Raw genomic sequence first — 23,117 nt, forward strand, 5'->3', positions numbered from 1 at the left:
TGCTTGGTAGATCTTCCTCCATCCTTTTATTTTGAGCCTATATGTGTCTCTGCACATGAGATGGGTTTCCTGAATACAGCACACTGATGGATCTTGACTCTTTATCCAATTTTCCAGTCTGTGTCTTTTAATTGGAGAATTTAGTCCATTTACATTTAAAGTTAATATTGTTATGTGTGAATTTGATCCTGTCATTATGATGTTAGCTGGTGATTTTGCTCGTTAGTTGATGCAGTTTCTTCCTAGTCTCGATGGTCTTTACATTTTGGCATGATTTTGCAGCGGCTCGTACCGGTTGTTCCTTTTCATGTTTAGCGCTTCCTTCAGGAGCTCTTTTAGGGCAGGCCTGGTGGTGACAAAATCTCTCAGCATTTGCTTGTCTGTAAAGGATTTTATTTCTCCTTCGCTTATGAAGCTTAGTTTGGCTGGATATGAAATTCTGGGTTGAAAATTCTTTTCTTTAAGAATGTTGAATATTGGCCCCCACTCTCTTCTGGCTTGTAGGGTTTCTGCCGAGAGATCCGCTGTTAGTCTGATGGGCTTCCCTTTGAGGGTAACCCGACCTTTCTCTCTGGCTGCCCTTAACATTTTTTCCTTCTTTTCAACTTTGGTGAATCTGACGATTATGTGTCTTGGAGTTGCTCTTCTCGAGGAGTATCTTTGTGGTGTTATCTGTATTTCCTGAATCTGAACGTTGGCCTGCCTTGCTAGATTGGGGAAGTTCTCCTGGATAATATCCTGCAGAGTGTTTTCCAACTTGGTTCCATTCTCCCCATCACTTTCAGGTACACCAATCAGACGTAGATTTGGTCTTTTCACATAGTCCCATATTTCTTGGAGGCTTTGCTCATTTCTTTTTATTCTTTTTTCTCTAAACTTCCCTTCTCGCTTCATTTCATTCATTTCATCTTCCATCGCTGATACCCTTTCTTCCAGTTGATCTCATCGGCTCCTGAGGCTTCTGCATTCTTCACGTAGTTCTCGAGCCTTGGTTTTCAGCTCCATCAGCTCCTTTAAGCACTTCTCTGTATTGGTTATTCTAGTTATACATTCTTCTAAATTTTTTTCAAAGTTTTCAACTTCTTTGCCTTTGGTTTGAATGTCCTCCCGTAGCTCAGAGTAATTTGATCGTCTGAAGCCTTCTTCTCTCAGCTCGTCAAAGTCATTCTCCATCCAGCTTTGTTCCGTTGCTGGTGAGGAACTGCGTTCCTTTGGAGGAGGAGAGACGCTCTGCGTTTTAGAGCTTCCAGTTTTTCTGTTCTGTTTTTTCCCCATCTTTGTGGTTTTATCTACTTTTGGTCTTTGATGATGGTGATGTCCAGATGGGTTTTTGGTGTGGATGTCCTTTCTGTGTGTTAGTTTTCCTTCTAACAGACAGGACCCTCAGCTGCAGGTCTGTTGGAATACCCTGCCGTGTGAGGTGTCAGTGTGCCCCTGCTGGGGGGTGCCTCCCAGTTAGGCTGCTCGGGGGTCAGGGGTCAGGGACCCACTTGAGGAGGCAGTATGCCCGTTCTCAGATCTCCAGCTGCGTGCTGGGAGAACCACTGCTCTCTTCAAAGCTGTCAGACAGGGACATTTAAGTCTGCAGAGGTTACTGCTGTCTTTTTGTTTGTCTGTGCCCTGTCCCCGGAGGTGGAGCCTACAAGAGGCATGCAGGCCTCCTTGAGCTGTGGTGGGCTCCACCCAGTTCGAGCTTCCAGGCTGCTTTGTTTACCTAAGCAAGCCTGGGCAATGGCGGGCGACCCTCCCCCAGCCTCGCTGCTGCCTGGCAGTTTGATCTCAGACTGCTGTGCTAGCAATCAGCGAGACTCCGTGGGCGTTGGACCCTCCGAGCCAGGTGTGGGATATAGTCTCGTGGTGCGCCGTTTTTTAAGCCGGCCTGAAAAGCGCAATATTTGGGTGGGAGTGACCCGATTTCCAGGTGCGTCCGTCACCCCTTTCTTTGACTCGGAAAGGGAACTCCCTGACCCCTTGTGCTTCCCAGGTGAGGCAATGCCTTGCCCTGCTTCGGCTCGCGCACGGTGCGCGCACCCACTGGCCTGCGCCCACTGTCTGGCACTCCCTAGTGAGATGAACCCGGTACCTCAGATGGAAATGCAGAAATCACCCGTCTTCTGCGTCGCTCACGCTGGGAGCTGTAGACCAGAGCTGTTCCTATTCGGCCATCTTTGCTCCTCCCGCCACCATCAGCCTTTTCTTCTTCATTATTGGAATAGTTCAGAAAAACAAAATGATCTTCATAATCCTGATAATTATCTCAAAAAATGGTGTTTGTTTGTCCTACAGGATAAAACAAATCATTTTATACTCACTCAACTTCCACACCACTGTTTCACTTCTAGTCATCAAATGTGTGCTTTTTTCCTCCCTCACACCAAGCAATTTTTAAATTCTTGGCAGACAACAACAGTTGAGTGTTCTATGATTTAACTCAATTCTGATATGATCCTGAGATCGTATCAGACCCCATAGGCTAAGGTTCATTCCCACAAGACTGCCCCCACTTCAAAAGTCAATAACAAGATCTAAGGTGTCATCATTGCTTCTGACTTGGCAAGTACAAATTCAAGGGTTCCAATAACCCCCTTTCTCAGGTTTAATAATTTTATACAATAGCTTATAGAACTCAGAAAAGTGCTTTACGTACGATTACAAGTTTATTATAAAAGATACAACTCAGAAGCTGACAAATGGGAGATATGTGTTATAGTTTGAACATATCTCAAAAAATTCATATGTTGGAAACTCAATCTCCAATGCTTGGGGTTGGGGCCTAATAAGAGGTAATTAGGTCATGAAGCCTTTGCCCTCATGAATGGATGAATGTCATTATCAAGGGAGTGGTTTATTTATCACAGAAGTAAGTTTATTAGAAAAATGAGTTTGCCCCCCTCATGTTCTCTCACTCCCACCCTCACCTATATGCCTTGTTCAATGGGATGACACGGCACTAAGGTTCTCAAATACTCCTGGACTCCCCAGTCTTCAGAACCGTAAGCCAAATAAATTTCTGTTTATTGTAAATTACCCAGTATGTGATATTCTGCTCTAGCAAAATAAAATGGACTCAGACAGAAAATTGGTACTGAACAAGTGATGTTGTTGCTATAACAAGTACCTGAAAATATGAAAACAGCTTTGGAACTGCCGAATGTGCACTGATTAGAAGAATTTAGGAAAGCAGGCTAGGAAAAGCCTAGATTGCCATAAACAGAGCCTTAAGGGCTGTTGTGGGGAGGACTCAGAAGAAGAGAATAGCTGTAAGAAAAGTCTGAATCTTGTTAAAGATTACTTAAGTGGTCATGATCAAAATGTTGGTAGAAATGTGGACAGTAAAAGCCATTCTGATGAGGGCTGAGATAGAAACAAGGAATAGTTTATTGGAAACTGAAATAAAGCCTATATTTGTTATAAATTGACAAAGGATTTGGTTGAACTGTGTCCATTCTCAAGGGCTCTATGGAAGGTGCAATTTAAGTAAGAATGATAAACTATTAGGTTGGTTTTTGCCATTGGATGTAATGGCAAAAGTGCAATTACATCTGCACCAACCTAATAGGATATCTGGTGGAAGAAATTTCTAAGCAAGATATTGAAAGACTTGCCTGGCTACTTTTAACTGCTTATAGTGAAGTGATAGAAGTCAGAAGTGATTTAAAGATGAAATTTATAATTAAAAGGGAAGCAGAATGAAAAGACTTGTAAAATGCTCAGCCTGCCATGTCAGGAATAGAAAAAAAAATAAAAAATAAATAAAAACATGCTTGGGAGAGAACACTAAGAGTGTGGCCAAGTGAACATTTGCTAAAGTGATTAATATGGATAGAAGGAAGCCAGGTTCCATTTAACCAGACAATGAGAGAATGCTCTTGGAAGCATTTCAGAGACATCCCAGGTGAGCTAGAAACTTGAGGGCAAGGTTTTCAAAGAAGTGCCCATGGAACCTCAGAATCTGCTGCCCTGTGACATCTAAAATTCAGGGATCCCTGAATTCTGGTGCAGCACCCCTCAGCCACCCCAGCTGTGGCTCAGGTGAGTCCAGGTGTGGCTTTACCCACTGTTCCAAAAGTTACAAGCCATAAACTTTGGGAGAACTCATGTGATTCTAATTCTGCAGACAAAATGCAAGAGCTATGTGGCCAAGATGGCCTCCGTCTAAATTTCAAAGGATGTCTTGGACAGTCTGGGGGCATAGACCTGTCACAGTAGTAGACACCACAGACAGCACCCACTAATGCAAAGCCTAATGGTGCTATGAGAGTGGAACAGTCCCTAAGACCCCAGAACTGTAAAGCCACTGGAGTGCAGCTCCAGGAACCCTGCAGTTGCAGGCATAAGATTTTAACCCATGATAGCTTCTGGATGGATTGTGCCCGGCAAAGCCATAGGCATGGGGCTGCCTGAGACTTTGGGGGCCCAGTTCCTAACCCACTTTGTGCTCAGGATTCAGGACATGGAGTCAAAATAAATTGTTCTCCAGATTTAAGACTGAATGTTATTTTCCCTGTTGGGTTTTGGACTTGCTTGGGCCCAGTTACTCCTTTCTTTTCGTCTATTTCTCTCTTTTGAAGTGAGAATGTCTATTCTGTGCCTGTTTCACGATTGTATTTCATAACTTGTTAATTTCACAGGCTCACAGCTGGAAAATAATTTGCCTCTGATGAATTGTGCCTTTAGTGTCACTTTGATTTAGATGAGACTCTGGACTTTGAACTTTTGAGTTGATGACTAGAACAAGTTAAGAATTTGAGACTATTGGGATAGAATGAATGTATTTTGCATTGTAAGAACATACATTTGGAGGACCAAGAATGGAATGCTATGGTTTGAATATGTCCCCAAAATTTATGTATTGAAAACTTAATCTCCAATGCAACACTGTTGGGAGGTGGGGCCTCGTAAGAGGTGATTATGTCATGAAAGCTTGGCCTGAAGGAATGGATTAATGTCATTATCAAGGGAGTGAAATAGCTGTCACAAGAGTGGGTTTCTTTTAAAAGTGAGTTCAGCATATTTTGCTCTCTTGCTCTCACCCTCCCTTGCTCTTCCACCTTCTGCCATGGGATGATGCAGAATGAAGGAGTGCAGAGCGTCCATGGCCTCTCTGGGCTTGCTATCCTCCCAGCACCCTCAAATGTTCATCAACTTGGAAACTCTGAACTCTGTCCGTTTGGGTTTTTATGGTCACACCATTAAGTAGGTATGGCTGATTAAATCATTGACCATCGGTGATCAACTCAATCTTCAGCCCCCCTTCACCTGCTTCCTTCAGGGAGATCAGAAGTGAGGGAGTGTGGCAGCTAGGGCTGAAAGCTCAGACCTTTTAATCATGTGGTTGTTTCCCCTGGCAACCACCTCCCATCCTGTGGTTATCCAGGAGTTTTACAAAAGTCATCTCATCGGCCGGGCGCGGTGGCTCACGCCTGTAATTCCAGCACTTTGGGAGGCCGAGGCGGGTGGATCATGAGGTCAGGAGATCGAGACCATCCTGGCTAACAAGGTGAAACCCCGTCTCTACTAAAAATACAAAAAATTAGCCGGGCGCGGTGGCGGGCGCCTGTAGTCCCAGCTACTCGGGAGGCTGAGGCAGGAGAATGGCGTGAACCCGGGAAGCGGAGCTTGCAGTGAGCCGAGATTGCGCCACTGCAGTCCGCAGTCCGGCCTGGGCGACAGAGCGAGACTCCGTCTCAAAAAAAAAAAAAAAAAAAAAAAAAAAAAGTCATCTCATCAATGTTAACTCAGGTGTGGTGGAAAGCGGCCTGTTGTGAATAACAAAAGGCTCCTTTCTGTGCTTTATTGCTTTTATCCCTTAGGAAATTCCAAGAGTTTTAGAAGTTGTATGTCAAGAACAAGGTGAAGACCAACATAGGGATGGTTCTCAGCTTACAGTGATTTGGCTTACTATTTTCTGACTTTGTGATGGTAGCAGAAGCAATACAAATTCAGTAGAAACCATATTTCCAATTTTGAATTTTGATATCTTCCTGGTCTAGTGATATTCAGTAAGACACTCTCTAGCAAGGCTGAGCAGTGGCAGCGAGCAGTAGTTCCCATTCAGCCACGTGCTCACTGGGCTAAACTGACACTTGGTATCGTCCTGAAGAACACTATTGCTGCTGACCCATAAACAAGTGTCCGTGTTCCAGTGCCTTCTATCGGCTCTTCTTAAGCCTCACTGGAAGAGAGAGAAATTGATGACCCTGTGGCTGTAGCACCCCCATCATTCAAAAATTAATTTTAGTTCAATTCTTCAAACATATTTCAGGCCCAGTGTGCTTTCAGCTGTATGTGCTAGTGGTGGGTACTCATACAACCATTCTGTTTTTCACTTTCAGTACAATATTCAATAAATGACATGAGATATTCAACATTTCATTCTAAAATAGGCTTTGTGGTAGGTTATTTTGCCCAACTTTAAGTTAATGTAAGTGTTCTGTGCATGTTTAAGGTAGGCTAGGCTTATCTATGATGTTAAATAGATTAGCATATTAAATGCATTTTTGATTTACAGTATTTTCAACTTATCAAGATATTTCAATAAATCAGATTTATTGGGATATAACTCCATTGTAAGTCAAGGAGCATTTGTACATAGTTCTTACTATACCACTATATCACATTTGCCCATGGCTTGGACTTATGTAAATGGTTACCATTAGAAGCACAATAAAATTTCATTGATTTTTAGATGTATTGGCCTTGACATTCATGATGGTACAATGATATCTGAAGGGCTGTTCCATTGTCACAAGTGAATTCCTATTTACAGACCCTTTGAATCCACCAACAAAAAGTGTATTAAAAGATCAATGAATATGTATGTGTTGAATATCTACTGCATGCCTGGCTATGCTCATAGCCTTCAAGAGCCACAACAATTCCTGAAACAAAATCATACTCCCATTTAACATATCAGCCAACTGACCCTCTTGAATGGTTAATCAAATTTGCCCAGCATTACCCAGATTTTAAGTGATGATGCCAAAATTTAAAACCTCGTTTTCTAACTGAGAGGGAAATAAACAGATAAACAGAGAAGAAAATGTAAATCACAGACGAATTGGATACTTGAAGTGCATATCAGAAATAGGTACAGTCTTTAATTGTGTGGAAAATGTAAATTGCTACTAAAGATAGAACTTCCAAATTAAAGAAAGTAGAAATAGAGTCTGCCATATATTGTCTTTTGAGTGCTGCGAACAGCTTTTAATATCCAGTGTTAAATGTCTCAGCAATAGTCTTTTATGTCTGATGAATTGTCTAAGAGGTTTTGCAGGTCTGTCAGGGTTTGTGCTTTCATATAACACAAAGTTTTCCAAGCTGACTCCAGCCTGTAATTTGTTCTAAGTGTATCTTTTCTTCACATGGTTTGGTTGAGCCATAAAAACATTCAGAGGAAGCAACATAGTGTGCACGCCTGGATTCTACTTGTAGAATAAATTGATTTATGCAAAATCACTTAATCACCATCACATGGGATCAAAAGAGGAGTGAACTGGCCACATTCCTTAGGTCAAAATAGTTGAAATTACATAGCAAGCCCAAGGACTTATAATAATGATAACTTACATTTGTATAATGAACACTAATATCCTGAAAGCTTACACTTACATTAATCTCCCTTTTTAAGTATGACCACATAACCATTAAGCACTTGTTCTGTCGATTTCATTGTCAAGGAACAACCAGGTATGGAAGCTAGTCTCAACAGAGGGCCCCCCTGTGAACCACGCCTCCAATTATTCTGCCTCTTTTGTGGTCTTTTCCCACACTGAATTTGGGCCGGCCTTGTTGAAACATTAAATGTGACAATAGTTTCACTATGTAACATTTGCAACTTTTGACTTGGTTTCTTGGAACATTCTGGGGAAAGCCAGCTACCATATAAAAAGTTCCACCAATAACTCTAAGTTGGCCATGCTGTGAGGAAACCCAAGTTGGCCACATGGAGGTGTTACAGTTATCCCAACATGAGATTAAAGAAGCCATCTTGGCCATCCAGATGAGGTTAGTCTTCAGATGACTACAGTCCTAGCCACCACCTGACTACAACCAGGTAAGCCCCCAAGCAAGACTTTCTCAGATGTTTCCAATTTACCCACAGAACCATAAGAGGTAATAGATTGTTTCTTTATACACTAAATTTTGGAGTGGTTTGTTATATAGCCTTAGGTAACTGGAACACCCAGTATGTTTAGCTATTATTGTTTTTCCTGCAGTACCAAAAACACTACTAAATGAGGAGCATAATTTCAATCAAGTCTCAGCTGGGTATCTGCTTTATGCAGAGAACTGTGTGGTGCATTTTTCTCCATAGTAAGCAACAGACCTTCACTTGGAGAGCAAGGGATTAGACAACAGATACGCAGTGTGATAGATATTACGAAGTAGTTCTGAGTTCTCCCTTGGATTCTGCTGCTACCTACATTACTTTACTCCTCCAGATCTCAAATCCTTCTATAAAAAAAGAAGTTTGGCTAAAATGACCGGTATGTTCCCTTTCAACTCTATCAGCTGATGGAGCCGCAGTTGTGTGTATGTGCTTTTTGTTTTTTTTTTTTTTATCTCAAAGGATATAATTAAAATTTGACAATTGTCATCTCTGAATAATCTTGCTGTAAGGCTCTGGTTAATATACAATGGAAATGCATTCCTTGGGTAACAAAAATCCATACATTTCGTTTGTTTTCAAGGGAGCATACAGAAAAGTGAGCATGAGGCAAGATGAATAGACTAGATAATAGAATTACACTTTGAATTAATTACCTATTACCTAACAAATTACTACAAACTTAGCAGCTTAAACCAATATACACCTATTCTCTCAACTTCCCTATGATAGGAGTCCAATCACATCCTACCTCTGCTGTGGCCTTCCCAAGCAGCGATCAAGATTTCAGACAGATGACTTTCTTATCCAGAGCTTGGGGCCCTCTTTCAAGCTCACGTGTTGTTGCAAAAATTTAGTCTTTGAAACTGGAATATTGAGATCTTTGCTTTCTTGTTGGATATTGGCTGGGGACACTCTCAGCTACTACTGGACACTGCAGTCCCTTGCTACATGGCCCTCTCAAAGGCCTCTCACAGCATGGCAGGTGATGCCTTCAAAGCCAGTAGAAGAATCTCCCCAGTGTGCTAAGTTGGAGTCTTACATAACACAATGTCATTATAGCCCATCACCTTTGCCATATAAAGTACTCTAACCAAGAGAGTAAGTGACTCATCTTATTTATAACTTCTGCTCATATTCAAGGCGAGGGGTCTATGCAGGGTTTGTACACAAGTGGGTGGAAACCAAGGGAGCCATTCTAGAATTCTGCCTGCCACAGCCTTTTTTGCTGATATTTATATTAAGTTTCTGGTCTCTATCTTTGCCTTCTTTGTGTTCTAGCTCTTTTTATGAACAAACATGTTGTAGAAGAGATTCTCTTTTGCATTGACAGCATTATAACCTAGAGGTAAAGCATTTTATTTATGAAGAGAACACGCAGGAGATAAATCTGGCTCTACTATTTACTAGCCATGTGACCTTAGGCAAATTACTTAATGTCTCTGTGCTTTGGTTCCCCATCCATATATAAAAGAAGCGAAACAGTAGCATTTGTCTCATAGGTTGATATGAAGGTTAAATGATATAATACCTAGGTTTTAATAAACACATGAGTGTTATTCCTTTACTTTCTGTCGAAGATGATACCAGCCATGAGAGCTAACTAGGAATTAGAAAGACTCACTTTTACATATTTGGAGAGTTTATGAAATTGTGATCTCTTATATGTCCATTGTCCATTTTCCATAAATTGTTCATAGAATCTCTGTGAAGAAGGTATAATTATCCCTATTTTACAGAAAGGTACTGGAAGTTCAGAGAAGTTAAGGAAATTGCCCAAGGTCACATAGCTGTGAAAAAGGCTGAGATAAACTTCTAAATTCATGTCTTCAGAATCCGAGGTCAGCGCTCTTTTCAGTATGCCAACATGAGAAAGTGGTATTAGACCTGTTCATTATGGCACTGTGTGGTAGAACTCAGATGCATGAGAGAAAGCTGGGGGATGTAGGTCGAGGTACAGTAAGTATGAATTTCAATAGCCAGTTTGGAGATATAATGGGTTACCTTGGAGAACTATTCATTGGTTCAATATTCAAGAAGAGGTCATATAGTAAGGCATAGTGAAAAGAGCTTGGGTATTAGGGTGATCTGTTCGATTAATAAATATTTATAGCTCCTATGTCAAGTATGGTTACTATTTGATGTGGATCTAATGGTAAACAAACACAGGAAGCTTGAATTGATTATTTCCCCTGAGGTTTGTGAAGATTACATAAAACAGCTTATTTTAAAGTACCTACCAGTGTCTGGGCCAGAAAGGCTACTTCCAGGAGGCGGGCCAGATCATGAGGCTGCGATGTGGTAGAAGGGGCTTTCGCGTAAAACTGACAACTAGTCTAGAGTTACCCTTCAATCCACAAACAAGTATTAATACTCCTTACTTACCATGTACCAGGCACTGTGTTAAGTGCCAGAGGGTTGCAATCAAAAGAAAGAGACATCCATGTATTAGTTCTAAGTGGAATATTTATCAAACAATAGAAATACAAGATGTTGCTACATAAGATGGAGCAATACCTTCATATTTGTTGGGCCCAGAATTGTTTTATGAAGTTGAAATTTAAGTTTGATATTGATGCATTATACTATTTTGGTAGTCCGATAAGCTAATAAAAGAGCCTACTACTTGGTAACAATTTCAGCCATTATTGAATTTAACACTTTGCTATTTGCTAGCCAATAAAATAGACTCATTCTCTGCTATATCTCATTTAATTGGAAGAATTCTAATAACTCCGTGGGTTGATCACGTTATACATGTAAAATACAGAGAGAAGAAAACATGCATGCAAGGTTAAGACTTTAGAGTGGATGGTCTAGAAGCAAAGTCTGAGGGGGGATTCCTGTTTTCTTGGGAAACACATTTACTGAGAATAGGGTAGCAGAAGAAATGAGTAAGGTAATGTGGGAAAAGGATGAAGTTTCGGAAGAAATAAGTAAAAGTACAGTTTCAGGAGAAGTCTAGCCTCAGCCTGATCTCACGAGGAGCTCTGAGCATGAGTTGCACCAGAGGTTGTCCTGCCTGGAGGCAATGAGGGTGGACTGTTACCCTACTACCCCCATGCCCCATCCCACATGGGTCAGTCAATCATTAGTCATGCCCTAACCCTAGGAAAGCAGGGGAGTGGGGTGGACAACATTTCTCAGGCATCTTCAGGTAAGAAAACTCCTGCCAACTAAGAGAAATCCTTCAGAAAATAGTACAGAAGACAATCTTTGTGGCAGCTGGGGTTGAGAGCACTTCCCTGGTAAATGAGCTCTGGATGGAGCATTAACAGCAATAGCTACAGTCACATAGCTGGGAAGCAGAGGAGGAAAAAAGGCAGCGCATTTCTGCCGACTGGTTCAAAACCAGTTTTGGTCTGTCTCCTAAAGTCCCAAATGTTTTTAACCACTAAGTAACATATGCACTGGGTTTATAGTTTTTACCTACTTTATCTCATTGAGTTGGAGTTTTCCCCCAACAGAGTACAGTACATATCTGCCCATTTTTATGGAGAAGGAAATGGAGGTTCTCAGAGTCTGAATCTAAGATCCCATGGTCAGTGATTGGTACAGCTAGGATGCACACCCAGGTCTTCTGGCTCTCTCTCTTTGCTGTTATCTAACTGAGAAATTTGGGCAAAATAGAGTAAAGGTCTTGACATCAGGGATAACTAAAGCACCAAGGTCATTTTCTACATCAAAACACTTTAGTGAAGCAGCTAAATCCGATGATGTCCTCTTTAGCTTTGGCCTTCTCTCACTGTGTGCTGTTTGGAGAACTCTGTTATGTTGCTCTGGCCTTTAACTCAGGCTCAGTCTTCCGAAATGAGCTGCTGCCGGTTAGGAGCATGTTTTATCACGTCCCTGTTGCATCAAATCCCAGCCACTGCTTTGCTTGAAGGTAATCTTGATATCACCCTAACTGTCCAACTCCAAATCCTAGATGCCCATAATTTCCCTTACAGGCTCTGCCTAATAGACAGATGCATATGCTTTATATCTTCCTCCACTTACCCACAAATAGATGGACTGAAAAGGAGCAGAGACATCGGAGACAAAATTTCATTTGTAAGAAGTAATGGCTCTATCAACATGGGCAAGCCCTTTAATTTCTGAGTTTATTTTTCTGTAAAATTAGTAGCCCATTTTCTACTTCCTAGGGTTGTTATATAGGTTAGAAGCAATATATTTAAAATACCAAGCACATGGCAGGTGTGCAACAAATGATAGCTATTTTTATGCAACAGATACACCTGCACAGGAGCCAAATTCACATGGGTGCCTGCTAAGTAAGCTTCCAACACTCCAGCCTTGGAAAGCAGTAGCTTCTCATTGAGTTTAACACATTTGACATGCCACTCAGACAAATCTCTTGCCTACCTCTACCCTCTACCCCCAGCCTCTCCCCGTGACCACTGTCTTCATGTCTCAAGCTTCCCTTGTTCAGAATGCCCTGCTCTGGTGACACTACTGCCATTCGTGCGTGCCCCAGCTTTATGGCAATTCCTCCATGAAGCCTTCCCACAGGAAGGTCAGGGTCTCTGTGGCCCACAAGTTAAGTGACCTGCCCTGACATGCGACCTCTGGGAAGATTCTCTATTTCTTAATATTTCTGAGAAATGACATTCTGGAGAGGGTCTCTGATATTTTTCACCTTCTTTTGTGATTTGTGATGTCAACATTTTCCATTTCTGGACTATTTCCCTGGAGTGAGCAAGAATCCTTTCTTCTGAAAAAAATGACTTGAAGTCAGGATTACTTTTTTATTTTTTTATTATTAATTTATCTTTTTTTTTTTTTTTTTTTTTTGAGATGGAGTCTTGCTCTGTTGCCCAGGCTGGAGTGCAGTGGCATCATCTCGGCCCCCTGCAACCTCCACCTGCCAGGTTCAAGTGGTTCTCTTGCCTCAGTGTCCTGAGTAGCTGGGATTACAGGCACTCGCCACCATGCCTGGCACATTTTTGTATTTTTAGTAGAGATGGGGTTTCACCATGTTGGTCAGGCTGGTCTTGAACTCCTGACCTCGTGATTCACCTGTCTTGGCCTCCCAAAGTGCTGGGATTACAGGCGTGAGCCACTACACCCGGCCAGGACCACTTTTTAAATCTCAGTTTCCTCTTCTCTATAAGGGGGCTAGTTGATTTCTCTCAGGAATGTTGCTGAACTGAATGCCAAACCATGGAACACATTCCCCCACCCATTCTATACACAGCTAAATGTCTTTGCCTTTGTACTCCAAGACCCTCTGTACTTTTATTAAAGTCCAGAACAAACAGTTAATGACTACTGGTTCCTGTTGTATTTTCTTTTTATATTCTTGAGGACTCAATACCATGTTGAGCATGTGGTAGGGGATCAAAAAAGTAAAATTTTAATGAATAATGGTGACCTGTGACACCACCCCTGTAAGCAGCAGGCACGCTAGGCATCGGCCTCTCCTGCCCTCCATCTCCTTTCAGTTGGGTAAGCCTCCAAGCACAGAAGGAGTAAAGCACCCTGTGCTCAGAGGCATGTCACTTTTCCTAAACTTGCAAACCTTCAGGTTGTGAGCTGATAACCAAATGGTGTTAAAAGGATTTCAACCCTATCTGATTCCAGGAGGAAGGGAAAGGGAAGGGGCTGTTCTGACTCTGGAGTGTCAAGTGTGTGAATATTCCAAATCTAATAGCTGAGGCTTGGTTCAGTTGTTCTCACTTGCCTCTCTGGAAGGACCCACCTAGATCCCCCAGGCTGCTCCCGGGCCGGGGTGGTCTGGACAGGAGACCCACCCCTTCCACTGACACCTGTCTCTGTTAATGGAATTGGTAGAAGGCATGTTTTGGAGGGACCGGGTGCTATTAGGCTCCTGAGTCACTGCATTTTGGCCCTGTAAGGACAGCCCAGGGTCTACTACAGGGCCTCCTTTGAATTTGACAGTGCTTGGTGAGATCTAGCAATAAATACCTTGGGTAAGTCTGGAGTGATGGTTTCTTACACAGTGTACCTTCTCAATGACTGGCTGGGGTTGTACCAAAAATGAATGAACAGATAGTGCCACTAGGACCTCTGATCCCTTGCTCATGGTAGACTCATTTGAACATTCCTTTAGCCACGACTCTGCACCCCCAAATGAAAACATATTGAATTTACATTCACTGATCATTTTACACTGGACCACCGCCTCCATCGACTATGCCAGTCCCAGCAGCTAGATTATATTCCATGTGCTGGTCCTGTCTTCCTCCACTCCTCCCCGCTGCCTCTTGCATCCACAGTTCATGCTTCTACCAGACCATCCCTGTCAGGGGACAGGAATTTACAGGCAGTTTGCAAAGAGCATCTTCTTCAGTCAGAGACTCTCATTGCAGTTTCCTTTCAGTCACCATATTCCTGAACAGGCTTGGAAACTTGACTTAACCTTGCTGGGCCCTCTTATTTCTTCAGCTCTTCAAGGAGTATGGTAAAAGCAAGATCCAACGATGTGCTGCAGAGGGAGGCTCTCTGCCTATTGAAAAGTACCATGTCCACCAGGGGCCTGCTGTAAATATTTCTGCTACTTCCTCTGGGGGAGATGATGGCTTAATGACAACTTCAATGGATTCTAAAGAGGAAGGCATCCTCTCTGCTCTCTGTTCATGATATGGGGTGGGGCATAGGCCATGCTAAGGTCAGGTCAGGCTGGAGCTGCTGAAACGTACCAAGGTGACTCACTTCCCTGATAACACTGCTGAGAAAAATGCAGGCTTCTTCTTGCCCTTCCTGTATCTGGGACACACCTCTTAGGATGGAAGATATTTGGCACCTGGGAAGAAATGTTAAGTCAGGTCAGGAAGAACTGGCTCTGAGTCTGGGCTTTTCCTTTTGAGTTCAGAAAGAGTTGGGTAAAAACTAAATACATAAATAACCTGTGCTTTGGCTCTGAGTAGCCTCTAAGCCTGAGTTTATAGTCAATGTGACCTTGGGCAAGTTTCTCATGTTCTCTGGGCCTAATTCCTCCTCTTTGAAATTTCCATAATAATATCTGCATCCTGGGGTTGCTTGGAGAAATTTCAATGAGTTCTTAAGTGTAGGAGATGATTAATAACGTCCATTTCTGTCATTTTCCTGCGGTATAAACCATGTCAGGAAGCCGGTTTATTTTGCTTGTTTGTATTTTCTCTTTTACTGTAATGAATGTTTTATTTTTATTAAAATCCAATGGGTTTAATTCTGTAAAAGGCTGACTGCATGAAGAATGCATGAAAAAACTGAGGATAAGAAGGGTTTATGTGACCATCTCCAACAAGCTGGCTGCTCAGGGGCAGAAGTAAAACTGAACTCCAGCCACTCCTCTGGGGGCAGGTACAGTGGTTCTCTTAGGTGCTACCTTCAACTCTGCCCTTTTCTCTTTTTAACTTCAACACTTGGGAACTTACTTTTTCTTTCACATTCAGGACTCCAAATTTAGAGTTGATTTTGAAACATACACATATTTATGTCTCAGTGCATATGGAATATATGTCTATAATGCCAATGTGTCTTTCAGGAAGTAAGCAGACTTTCAGACTAAGCAAAAGACTACTACCCTTTTAGTCAGCCTTTCACAGAACCGACAGGATGAAGACACGCATAGATTTCGCAGTTTCTCTTTTCTATTCTAATTGGCTTTCTGGAGGCCAGCTGCCACCTGGGGCAAAGTATCCAGGTCCAAGATCATTCTGAAGGCCAAGGGTTTAATCCTCTTTATTATAACTGCTGAGATCAGAAGCATGTGCAAATATTCTTTGAGGTCAAGATGGATCCCAAGAGACCTCTAGCCAGTCACTAACTGCTTCTCCATCCTGAATATTGCTTTGTTTACTTGAAGTTTACACATGGGAATGAGTAAAACTGTGACCTCCAAAAATGACAAGGAATCGCCGAGGAGATAAATCTTACAATCCAAGTAAAAATAAATCTGATGATCACAATGAGACATTAAAAATTAAAAAGAGCAATGCAGAAAGGAGAGGGGAGAGAGAGGATTGTAATAGCCATGAAAAACATGTTTTTTTAAGTAACAAAAGAATTTAGATTTTGCAATGATTGCAACACAGACAGCTATTTTGAGTTGGGGGCAAGTTAATTATATTCAAAAAAACATAGCGTCTCCAGAAAAAATCTTTTTTTTTTTTTCAGTGAAATAGTTTAGTTCCTTCATATAGAGACATATTACACAATGTTAACAACCATGAAAAACAATACAAAATGCCCTCCATTTAACAAGTAGAAAAATATAACTAGTATATATGGCAATTGTGAATCTAATACTGTACAGAAGTACTTTATGGATTTTACAAATAAATTATACCTTAAATGCTTTTTTAAAATTCTTTTTCCCCTCAGATGTACACCAGAACTTACAGTAGGAAAGTTTCTGAGCTTAGCTTATTGCAAATCAGTGCCAGTCAAATGTTCTGCCAACAAGCTCGAAGAACTTCTTATTTGGCTCATGAAAATATTCGTGCAGTTTATTGAGTAGTTTGGGATCGACTTGGGGGTGCGCCCGGCCTTTGGACTCATGTAAGCAGCGGTCCCGGCCGCTGTCCCGCAGGCAGTAAAAGCCCTTGGTTTTGTTAAAGTAGAAGTTCGAAGCATTGATCTGCGGCGACAGCTTTAGGAACCTCTCGACCTTTTGGATCTCAGGGAAGGGGTCCCTGATGAGGCGGTCGCCGTCCACAATGTGGATGTGGCGCAGCGGGAAAAAGCGCAGCCAGTTCTGCATGTGCACGTGGTAGAGGCTGCGGTTGAGGGCCTTGTAGTCCACATTGAGCCTGCCATCGCGCACCAGGAACTCCTCGATGGACGGGTAGGGCTTGTGCTTCTGCATGTGGTTGTAGAACACTTGGGTGTAGTCAGATAGCACGCGCTCCGACGGGTCTCGCAGGATGAGCAGCAGCCGGATGGACGGGTTCATGCTGTAGACTCGCTCAGGCACTTTGGGCGACGTGAAATACGCGGGGGTCTTCTCCACTGTGAGCTGGTGTGGCCAGGAGAAGGGCATCTGGCTGAGGTACCAGCCCAAGCCGTGGCTGTAATGCTCCTCCCAGTCGAAGAAGTGGACCTCGTTCTCCGCGGCCGCCACGTCGGGGTGCAGGCTGAGCATCTCCAGCAGTGCGCGCGTGCCGCCCTTGCGCACGCCGATGATGATGGTCTGCGGCAACTGCTGGGCAGAGCCGTTTGGGGCCACGCCATCGCGGACGTCATCCTGGAGGGTCCCCGCTTTCCGCAGAAGCTCCTGCTGGCCTAGCTCGGCGGGGCGGGAAGGCACTAGCTGGGGCTGGGCCACCAGCAGCACCGCGCCCAGGAGCAGCGCGGCCATGCTGGACACCACGGTGGCTTCACTGGGCCGCGCGCCGCTGGGTCATGAAGTGCCGCAGCAGGGAAGCCTCCTAGTCAGTGGCACATGGGCGTTTCAGGCCTTCAATTACTAGGGAACAAAAAGGGAAGATATTAACATATAACAAATACAGGGATAATTCAACTAACAACTCTGTAGCCACTCTGTAGTGAGGCCTATATTCACCTCCCCAGGACTCTCAGTTTCTTATCCTATACAGGAGCCGATGGCAAACATTTTCTGCAAAAGTCCAGAGAATAAGTATTTTAGGCTTTAGGGGACATACTTTATGCCAACTCCAACTCCAACCGTGCTATTATAGATGAAATGCAGCCATAGACAACACACAAGGGAATGGGTGTGGTTGTGTTCCAAGAACACTCTATTTATGGGCACTGAGTGAATTTCATATAATTTTCACGTGTCATTAAATATTATTTTCCTTCTTACTATTGTTATTTTTTGCAATCATTTTATATGTTTAGCTGGCTGCATACAACCAGGCCAGGTTTGCCTCCCTAGTCAGAGCATGCTAACCCTTGCTATAAAGGAAAGGGTTGGGAAGACCCTTTGGAACTCAGCAAAAATCAATAAAATATCTACTACTCACCAGTCCCTGGCAAAGGGGCAGGTGATATAGAAGCAGGCTTTGTTCCTGCCCCCACTCTTCCAGCCAGGGGCTCCTAATCTAACAGAGCATGTGAATTAGTATGAAAGATTGCATGATTAGTCCCAATTCTTCACCTTGTGTCCAACTCTTGAATTGGCCTTGCTACTAGCATATGAGCAGATGTGACAACGTATCAGTCCCCAGCCTGGCTGCAAGAGGCCTTGTGTGTTTTTGCTCACCCTCTTTCACTATTGGCTTTGCCATGAGAAGAATATGCCCTGGCTAGCCCATGGTCCCAGAGGGAGGATGAAAGACACACAGAGCCATCCCAGCTCATGAGTGAAGATGCATGATTGTGGTTTTAAGCCCCTGAGTTTTGGAGTGGTTTGTATTGCAGCGGGAAATTGGCAAAAGTTAATTGACGCAGCCTGACTGTAGGCATCAGGGAGATATATGTTATGATTGTAATTTTGGTAGGGTACTATGAAGACACATGTTCATTCATTTTGCCTAAAATAATTGGGGATGGTTTCACAGTGGAGGAAACATTTGAAATAGGCCTGGAGGGATAAACAAGTGAAATTACTACAAAGTGCAAAAAAGCCTTCATTTGTACAAAGCTTTACTATTGATAATGTGGTCTCATACTATATTCAGCTATTGTCACTACAACCCTACACTGTAAGGTAGGAAGGCAAGGCAGATGTCACCGCCATTTTTTTTTTTTTTTTATGGAGTTTTGCTCTTGTTGCTCAGGCTGGAGTGCAATGGTGTGATCTCAGCTCACCGCAACCTCCGCCTCCCCGGTTCAAGTGATTTTCCTGCCTCAGTCTCCCGAGTAGCTGAGATTACAGGCATGTGCCACCACGCCCAGCTAATTTTGTATTTTTAATAGAGATGGGCTTTCTCTATGTTGGTCAGGCTGGTCTCGAAATCCCACCCTCAGGTGATCTGCCTGCCTCGGCCTCCCAAAGTGCTGGGATTACAGGCATGAGCCACTGCGCCTGGCCTGTCACCACCATTTTATAGAGGGTAGTCTTGTCTAAGGACACAATTCTATTAGTCTATTTCAAAATTTAGAGCCCAAATTGAAAACTCTAAACTCAGTGTTCTTTATCCACAAACCACATCTTTTCCACAAAACTTCTCCTCTTTACCTATTTAAGATTTATAACATTTAGGCAGTAAAGGACACAGGAACTGCTGGCCTAGATGCTGTGGGGTTCCACAAGACAGACCAGTCAAGGGTTTATGTTTTCAAGGAGCTGATACTCATCAGTCTGTGTTTCACGCTATCCCCTAAAGAGGAGATTAGTTGCTTTCACTTGAGTCATCTCTGTTAAAACACATTAAGGGAAGCGTAAGAGACAGGCCTGGCTTGGGGACTGAGGGATTTACAAAGCTAGTAAAAATATTCTCCATCAAGAGGACTCATCATCTTTTGTACGGTAGTTTCAAAATTTACTTCATTAGTTTAAAACTTGTCCAGAATGAATAAAGGAAGAACAAATTCCAGGACATCCATTTTTATGATCAACCAGCTAATCTACCTTTCTCAGATATTGTTATCTTCTTTGAAAAACATATTAAAGAGCAAGTAATCAAATAGATGGAAGGTTTTAGAGAACCACAGTGCACTGGAGAAGGGACCTGAGAGATCAGTGATGTAACTCTTTAAGAAAAAATCAAGAATGCTTTAGAAAGGATAGCCAAGAACGATGAGGTTTCAGGTTGGTTCTACCGATTGGTGAACTAAATTTAACAGGCCAATTTTTTTAGTCAAGTGATGGTTTCAGGGTGTTTCAGCTGAATTTCATTTCCTTCTCAAGTCACCTATGTGGTTCGACCAAATGTACCAATTGTGCTTGGCTCTTACATGTTTGAGATGTGAGAATGTATGCAATTGTATGTGCATGCTTGAGTGTGTCTGTATGTGTATGCATGCATGTGTGTGTGTGTGTGCAGGTATAACAGGTAGGTCAAGTGAGAGAGGGACTAACTACTACCCTTTAGAGAGCTATACTGTGTGTTGGTCACTGCTATCACCATCTTATAGTTCCATGTTCAGACTCAGGGAACAACACATTCATATTATTTGATACCTAAGTGTAGAGGCAGAGGCCAGATCTGAAATTCATATTATCTGACTGTTTATGCTCCTTCAACTCTAACCTGAGGCATCCTGGTTAGTGTAGTGTACATCTGAGGTTTCTTTCCTGAAGGAGAATTACCAGCAGACAGTAGAGAAGAAACTAAATATAGTTTGTCCTTTATGAAAGAAAATAACAACAACGTATTGGGAAGTTAAGTAGCTTATAAGCTCCTTGTTTGTATTTTAATCCTTTCTAAAAATGTATTTACTTATGTCTAGACCTTTTTCATTCAAAAATATTTGAGGCTAATAGAGAAAGAAATTAGCTAATGTCTTATATACACATATGCAAGTATATACGCACACATATACATACACACATACTATATATAGCATATATATCATGTGTATACCCCATGTGTATCTTTTATGTGTATATGTAAAAATGTGTATAAGTACATATGTGTTTGTGTGTGTAAATGTATGCACACATATATTCATAGCTAAATATAGTATAACCTGTTTTATATTACATACACACTGTGGGCATTGGGAGCCAACTTCCTCTTGTGGTTTTGTAATTTGGACTTCCCAGTGGCACAGAAAGGATTTCTGGTCCTTTTTGTAACACTCTCAGAAACAAAAAGATTCCCAAGCTCAGGTGAACCTGTAAGCCATTCCTGTGTGCCACCTTGATCTTGACAATGAAGTTATAAACATCAGGGAAGAAGGGAGTCACTTAGTCCCTGCCTTTCACACCCCAAGATGACTTGCCCAGTGTCACATAGTAAATCTGTTCCTAGGACTTTTGGCTCCAGAAGTCCAGTTCTGTAGTCTAGTTGCTGTTACTACTGTCTTCCGAGTAAGTGGTTGTAATGTAAAATAATGACAATATTTTTGGGATTCCATAGAAGAAAAACCCAACAAAATCTACCCAGCAATGACAACTCCCTGGCCACCAACTTCCAGTGTCAGCTGACACACAGGGTATGTGTAGTACAGGGTCAAACTTGCTCATTTGTTCTGTTCAGTAGAAGGGTCCAAATGAATTGCACAGGCCCTGGAGTCAGGATTCCTGTCTCTAGTTTGGACCTTGGTCAAAGTGACTTAACCTCTCTTAGCTTCAGTTTCCTCATCTGTAAAATGGTAATAATTCCACCTGCTTCAAATGATTACTTTGAGACTGAAATGAAACAATGTGTGTCAGGACTGTCCAATATAAATATATTGTGTATAACATATGCATTCAGACATTTTAAAACATATATTCTACATAGCTTAATAGATCTAAAGTGTTATCACTCTAACCTATAATCACTATATAATTTTTCTTTTTTGAGACAGAGTCTTCCTCTGTCGCCCAGGCTGGAGTGCAGTGACATGATCTCAGCTCACTGTGACCTCTGCATTCTGGGTTCAAGTAGTTCTTGTGCCTCAGCTTCCCAAGTAGCTGGGACCACAGGTGTGTGCCACCACAGCTGGCTAATTTTTGTATTATAATTTTAGTAGAGATGGGGTTTCGCCATGTTGGTCAGACTGGTCTCGAACTCCTGACCTCAAGTGATCCACCTGTTTCGGTCTCCCAAAGTGCTTGGATTCCAGGTGTGAGCCACCATACCTGGCCTAATCACTATATAAAATTAATGAAATATTTTGCATTTTTTTCTACCCAGTCTTCAAAATCCAAGTGCATATATATTTCCTGTGTAGCACATCTCAAGGACACATATGGCTGGTGGCAATTGAGTTAGAGAGCACAGAGATAGATAGCACTGGGCATGTTTGCAATTCTTAATCTGAGAGGTCTTTAAGTGTGGAACACACTCTCCTGAAAGCAAGATTCTCTACGCACTCACAGATTAGGAGCTTCCTGAACAGGAGAAGAACCAGGAAGGCAGGTTTGAACCTGCAGGCAGCACAAAGGCAAATTCGATCTTCTCCCTCAAGAAACAAACCAGGTAAAAGTAAACAAATGGGACCTTTTGACAGTTGAAGCACTTGGCTGATGTGGGCATGGATACAGAATTCTCTATAGCACCTGGAGCTGAGGCCACATCCTTGGCAAAAGCAATGATTGCAGCTCCCATCTGCAGCAATTGCTACTGAGCAGGCACTAGACTGGCAACTTTCCACACAGGGCTTGCTGTAATCCTCACTGCAAGTCCTCAAGGTAAGTGATGTTTTTATTTTAAAAAGTGAGGTTCAGAGAAATGAAGTCTTGTGTCTAGAAAGTTAGAGGAGGTGAAAGGATTCAAACTCAGTCTAAACAAAGCCAGGAACTTCACTGTCACTTTCACTTTTCTTGGCAATGTCTGGAGTTAGTGAGCAAGTTATTAATGAACTTGGCTCTACTTCTTTGGTCCTGTTGAATAGTTGTGCCTTGCACCAATTCTTTGATGAAGGACAGAATTTCTGTGAAGGCCCAGACTTGCTAAGATGGGCAAAATGAACCTCCGATGGGTTAATAGGTCCCAAAGGGAGACCCAGCTACCCCTCCATTTACTTCCCTTTATCAGGGAGGCTGTTTTCTGGGTGTTATGGTGAAAACCCAAGGCCTGAGTTTCATGAATTGAAAAGATTAAGGTCCTTCCTATCAGCAACAGTAAGCTTCCTCGAGTCCCACTGTGAAGACAGTAGCCACATGCCAGGCATGGGAAACCCAAGGGAGATTCCACAGAATCTTCCAGATGGAGGCTTCCCTTGCACTTGGAATTAAATCTAAACTCCTTTCCAAGGAGGCCTTTCCTGCAAATGGAGGTCTTGCCTTGCTCTACTCTGTCCCCTCGGGCCTGGCATGATTTCTGGTATATAGCACATACTAGACATTTTGTTTGCTGAATGAACTTGTCAAATGCAGTAGACAGGCAAATAGCTGGAAGGTACTGGGAACATATTTTAACACAGTAGGAAGAGAAACTTTAAGGGTTTGAAACTTCTGTCTCTAGAGAGTCAAGCAGAAACCAGATGTTGAAAGGGGGACTCA

The 23,117-nt window shown here is 42.5% G+C and overlaps 1 protein-coding gene across 2 annotated transcripts in view, besides 2 other annotated features; it reads right to left on the bottom strand.

The window, feature by feature from the left end:
- Positions 1,383 to 1,954: an enhancer, noted in NCBI's record as "NANOG-H3K27ac-H3K4me1 hESC enhancer chr4:11385598-11386169 (GRCh37/hg19 assembly coordinates)". NCBI's record gives its function as "activates a minimal SCP1, AML or CMV promoter by ChIP-STARR-seq in naive and primed H9 embryonic stem cells {active_cell/tissue: H9 hESC(naive and primed)}" and the evidence as "EXISTENCE:reporter gene assay evidence [ECO:0000049][PMID:30033119]".
- The window catches only part of HS3ST1 (heparan sulfate-glucosamine 3-sulfotransferase 1), a 41,178-nt gene continuing 28,619 nt past the window's right edge, over positions 10,559 to 23,117 (bottom strand). For both annotated transcript variants that reach the window (XM_011513913.4, NM_005114.4), the window contains exon 2: positions 10,559 to 17,522. In XM_011513913.4, the coding sequence (XP_011512215.1) occupies positions 16,491 to 17,414 (924 nt within the window). In that variant the 5' untranslated portion in view covers positions 17,415 to 17,522 and the 3' untranslated portion in view covers positions 10,559 to 16,490. The remainder of the gene's footprint in view (positions 17,523 to 23,117) is intronic.
- Positions 14,194 to 15,393: an enhancer, noted in NCBI's record as "CDK7 strongly-dependent group 2 enhancer chr4:11398409-11399608 (GRCh37/hg19 assembly coordinates)". NCBI's record gives its function as "activates an origin of replication core promoter dependent on BRD2, BRD4, P300/CBP, MED14 and CDK7 cofactors, with strong dependence on CDK7, by STARR-seq in HCT116 cells {active_cell/tissue: HCT116}" and the evidence as "EXISTENCE:reporter gene assay evidence [ECO:0000049][PMID:35650434]".

The sequence above is a fragment of the Homo sapiens genome, chromosome 4 (genome assembly GCF_000001405.40).
Source record: "Homo sapiens chromosome 4, GRCh38.p14 Primary Assembly".
Lineage (NCBI taxonomy): Eukaryota > Metazoa > Chordata > Mammalia > Primates > Hominidae > Homo > Homo sapiens.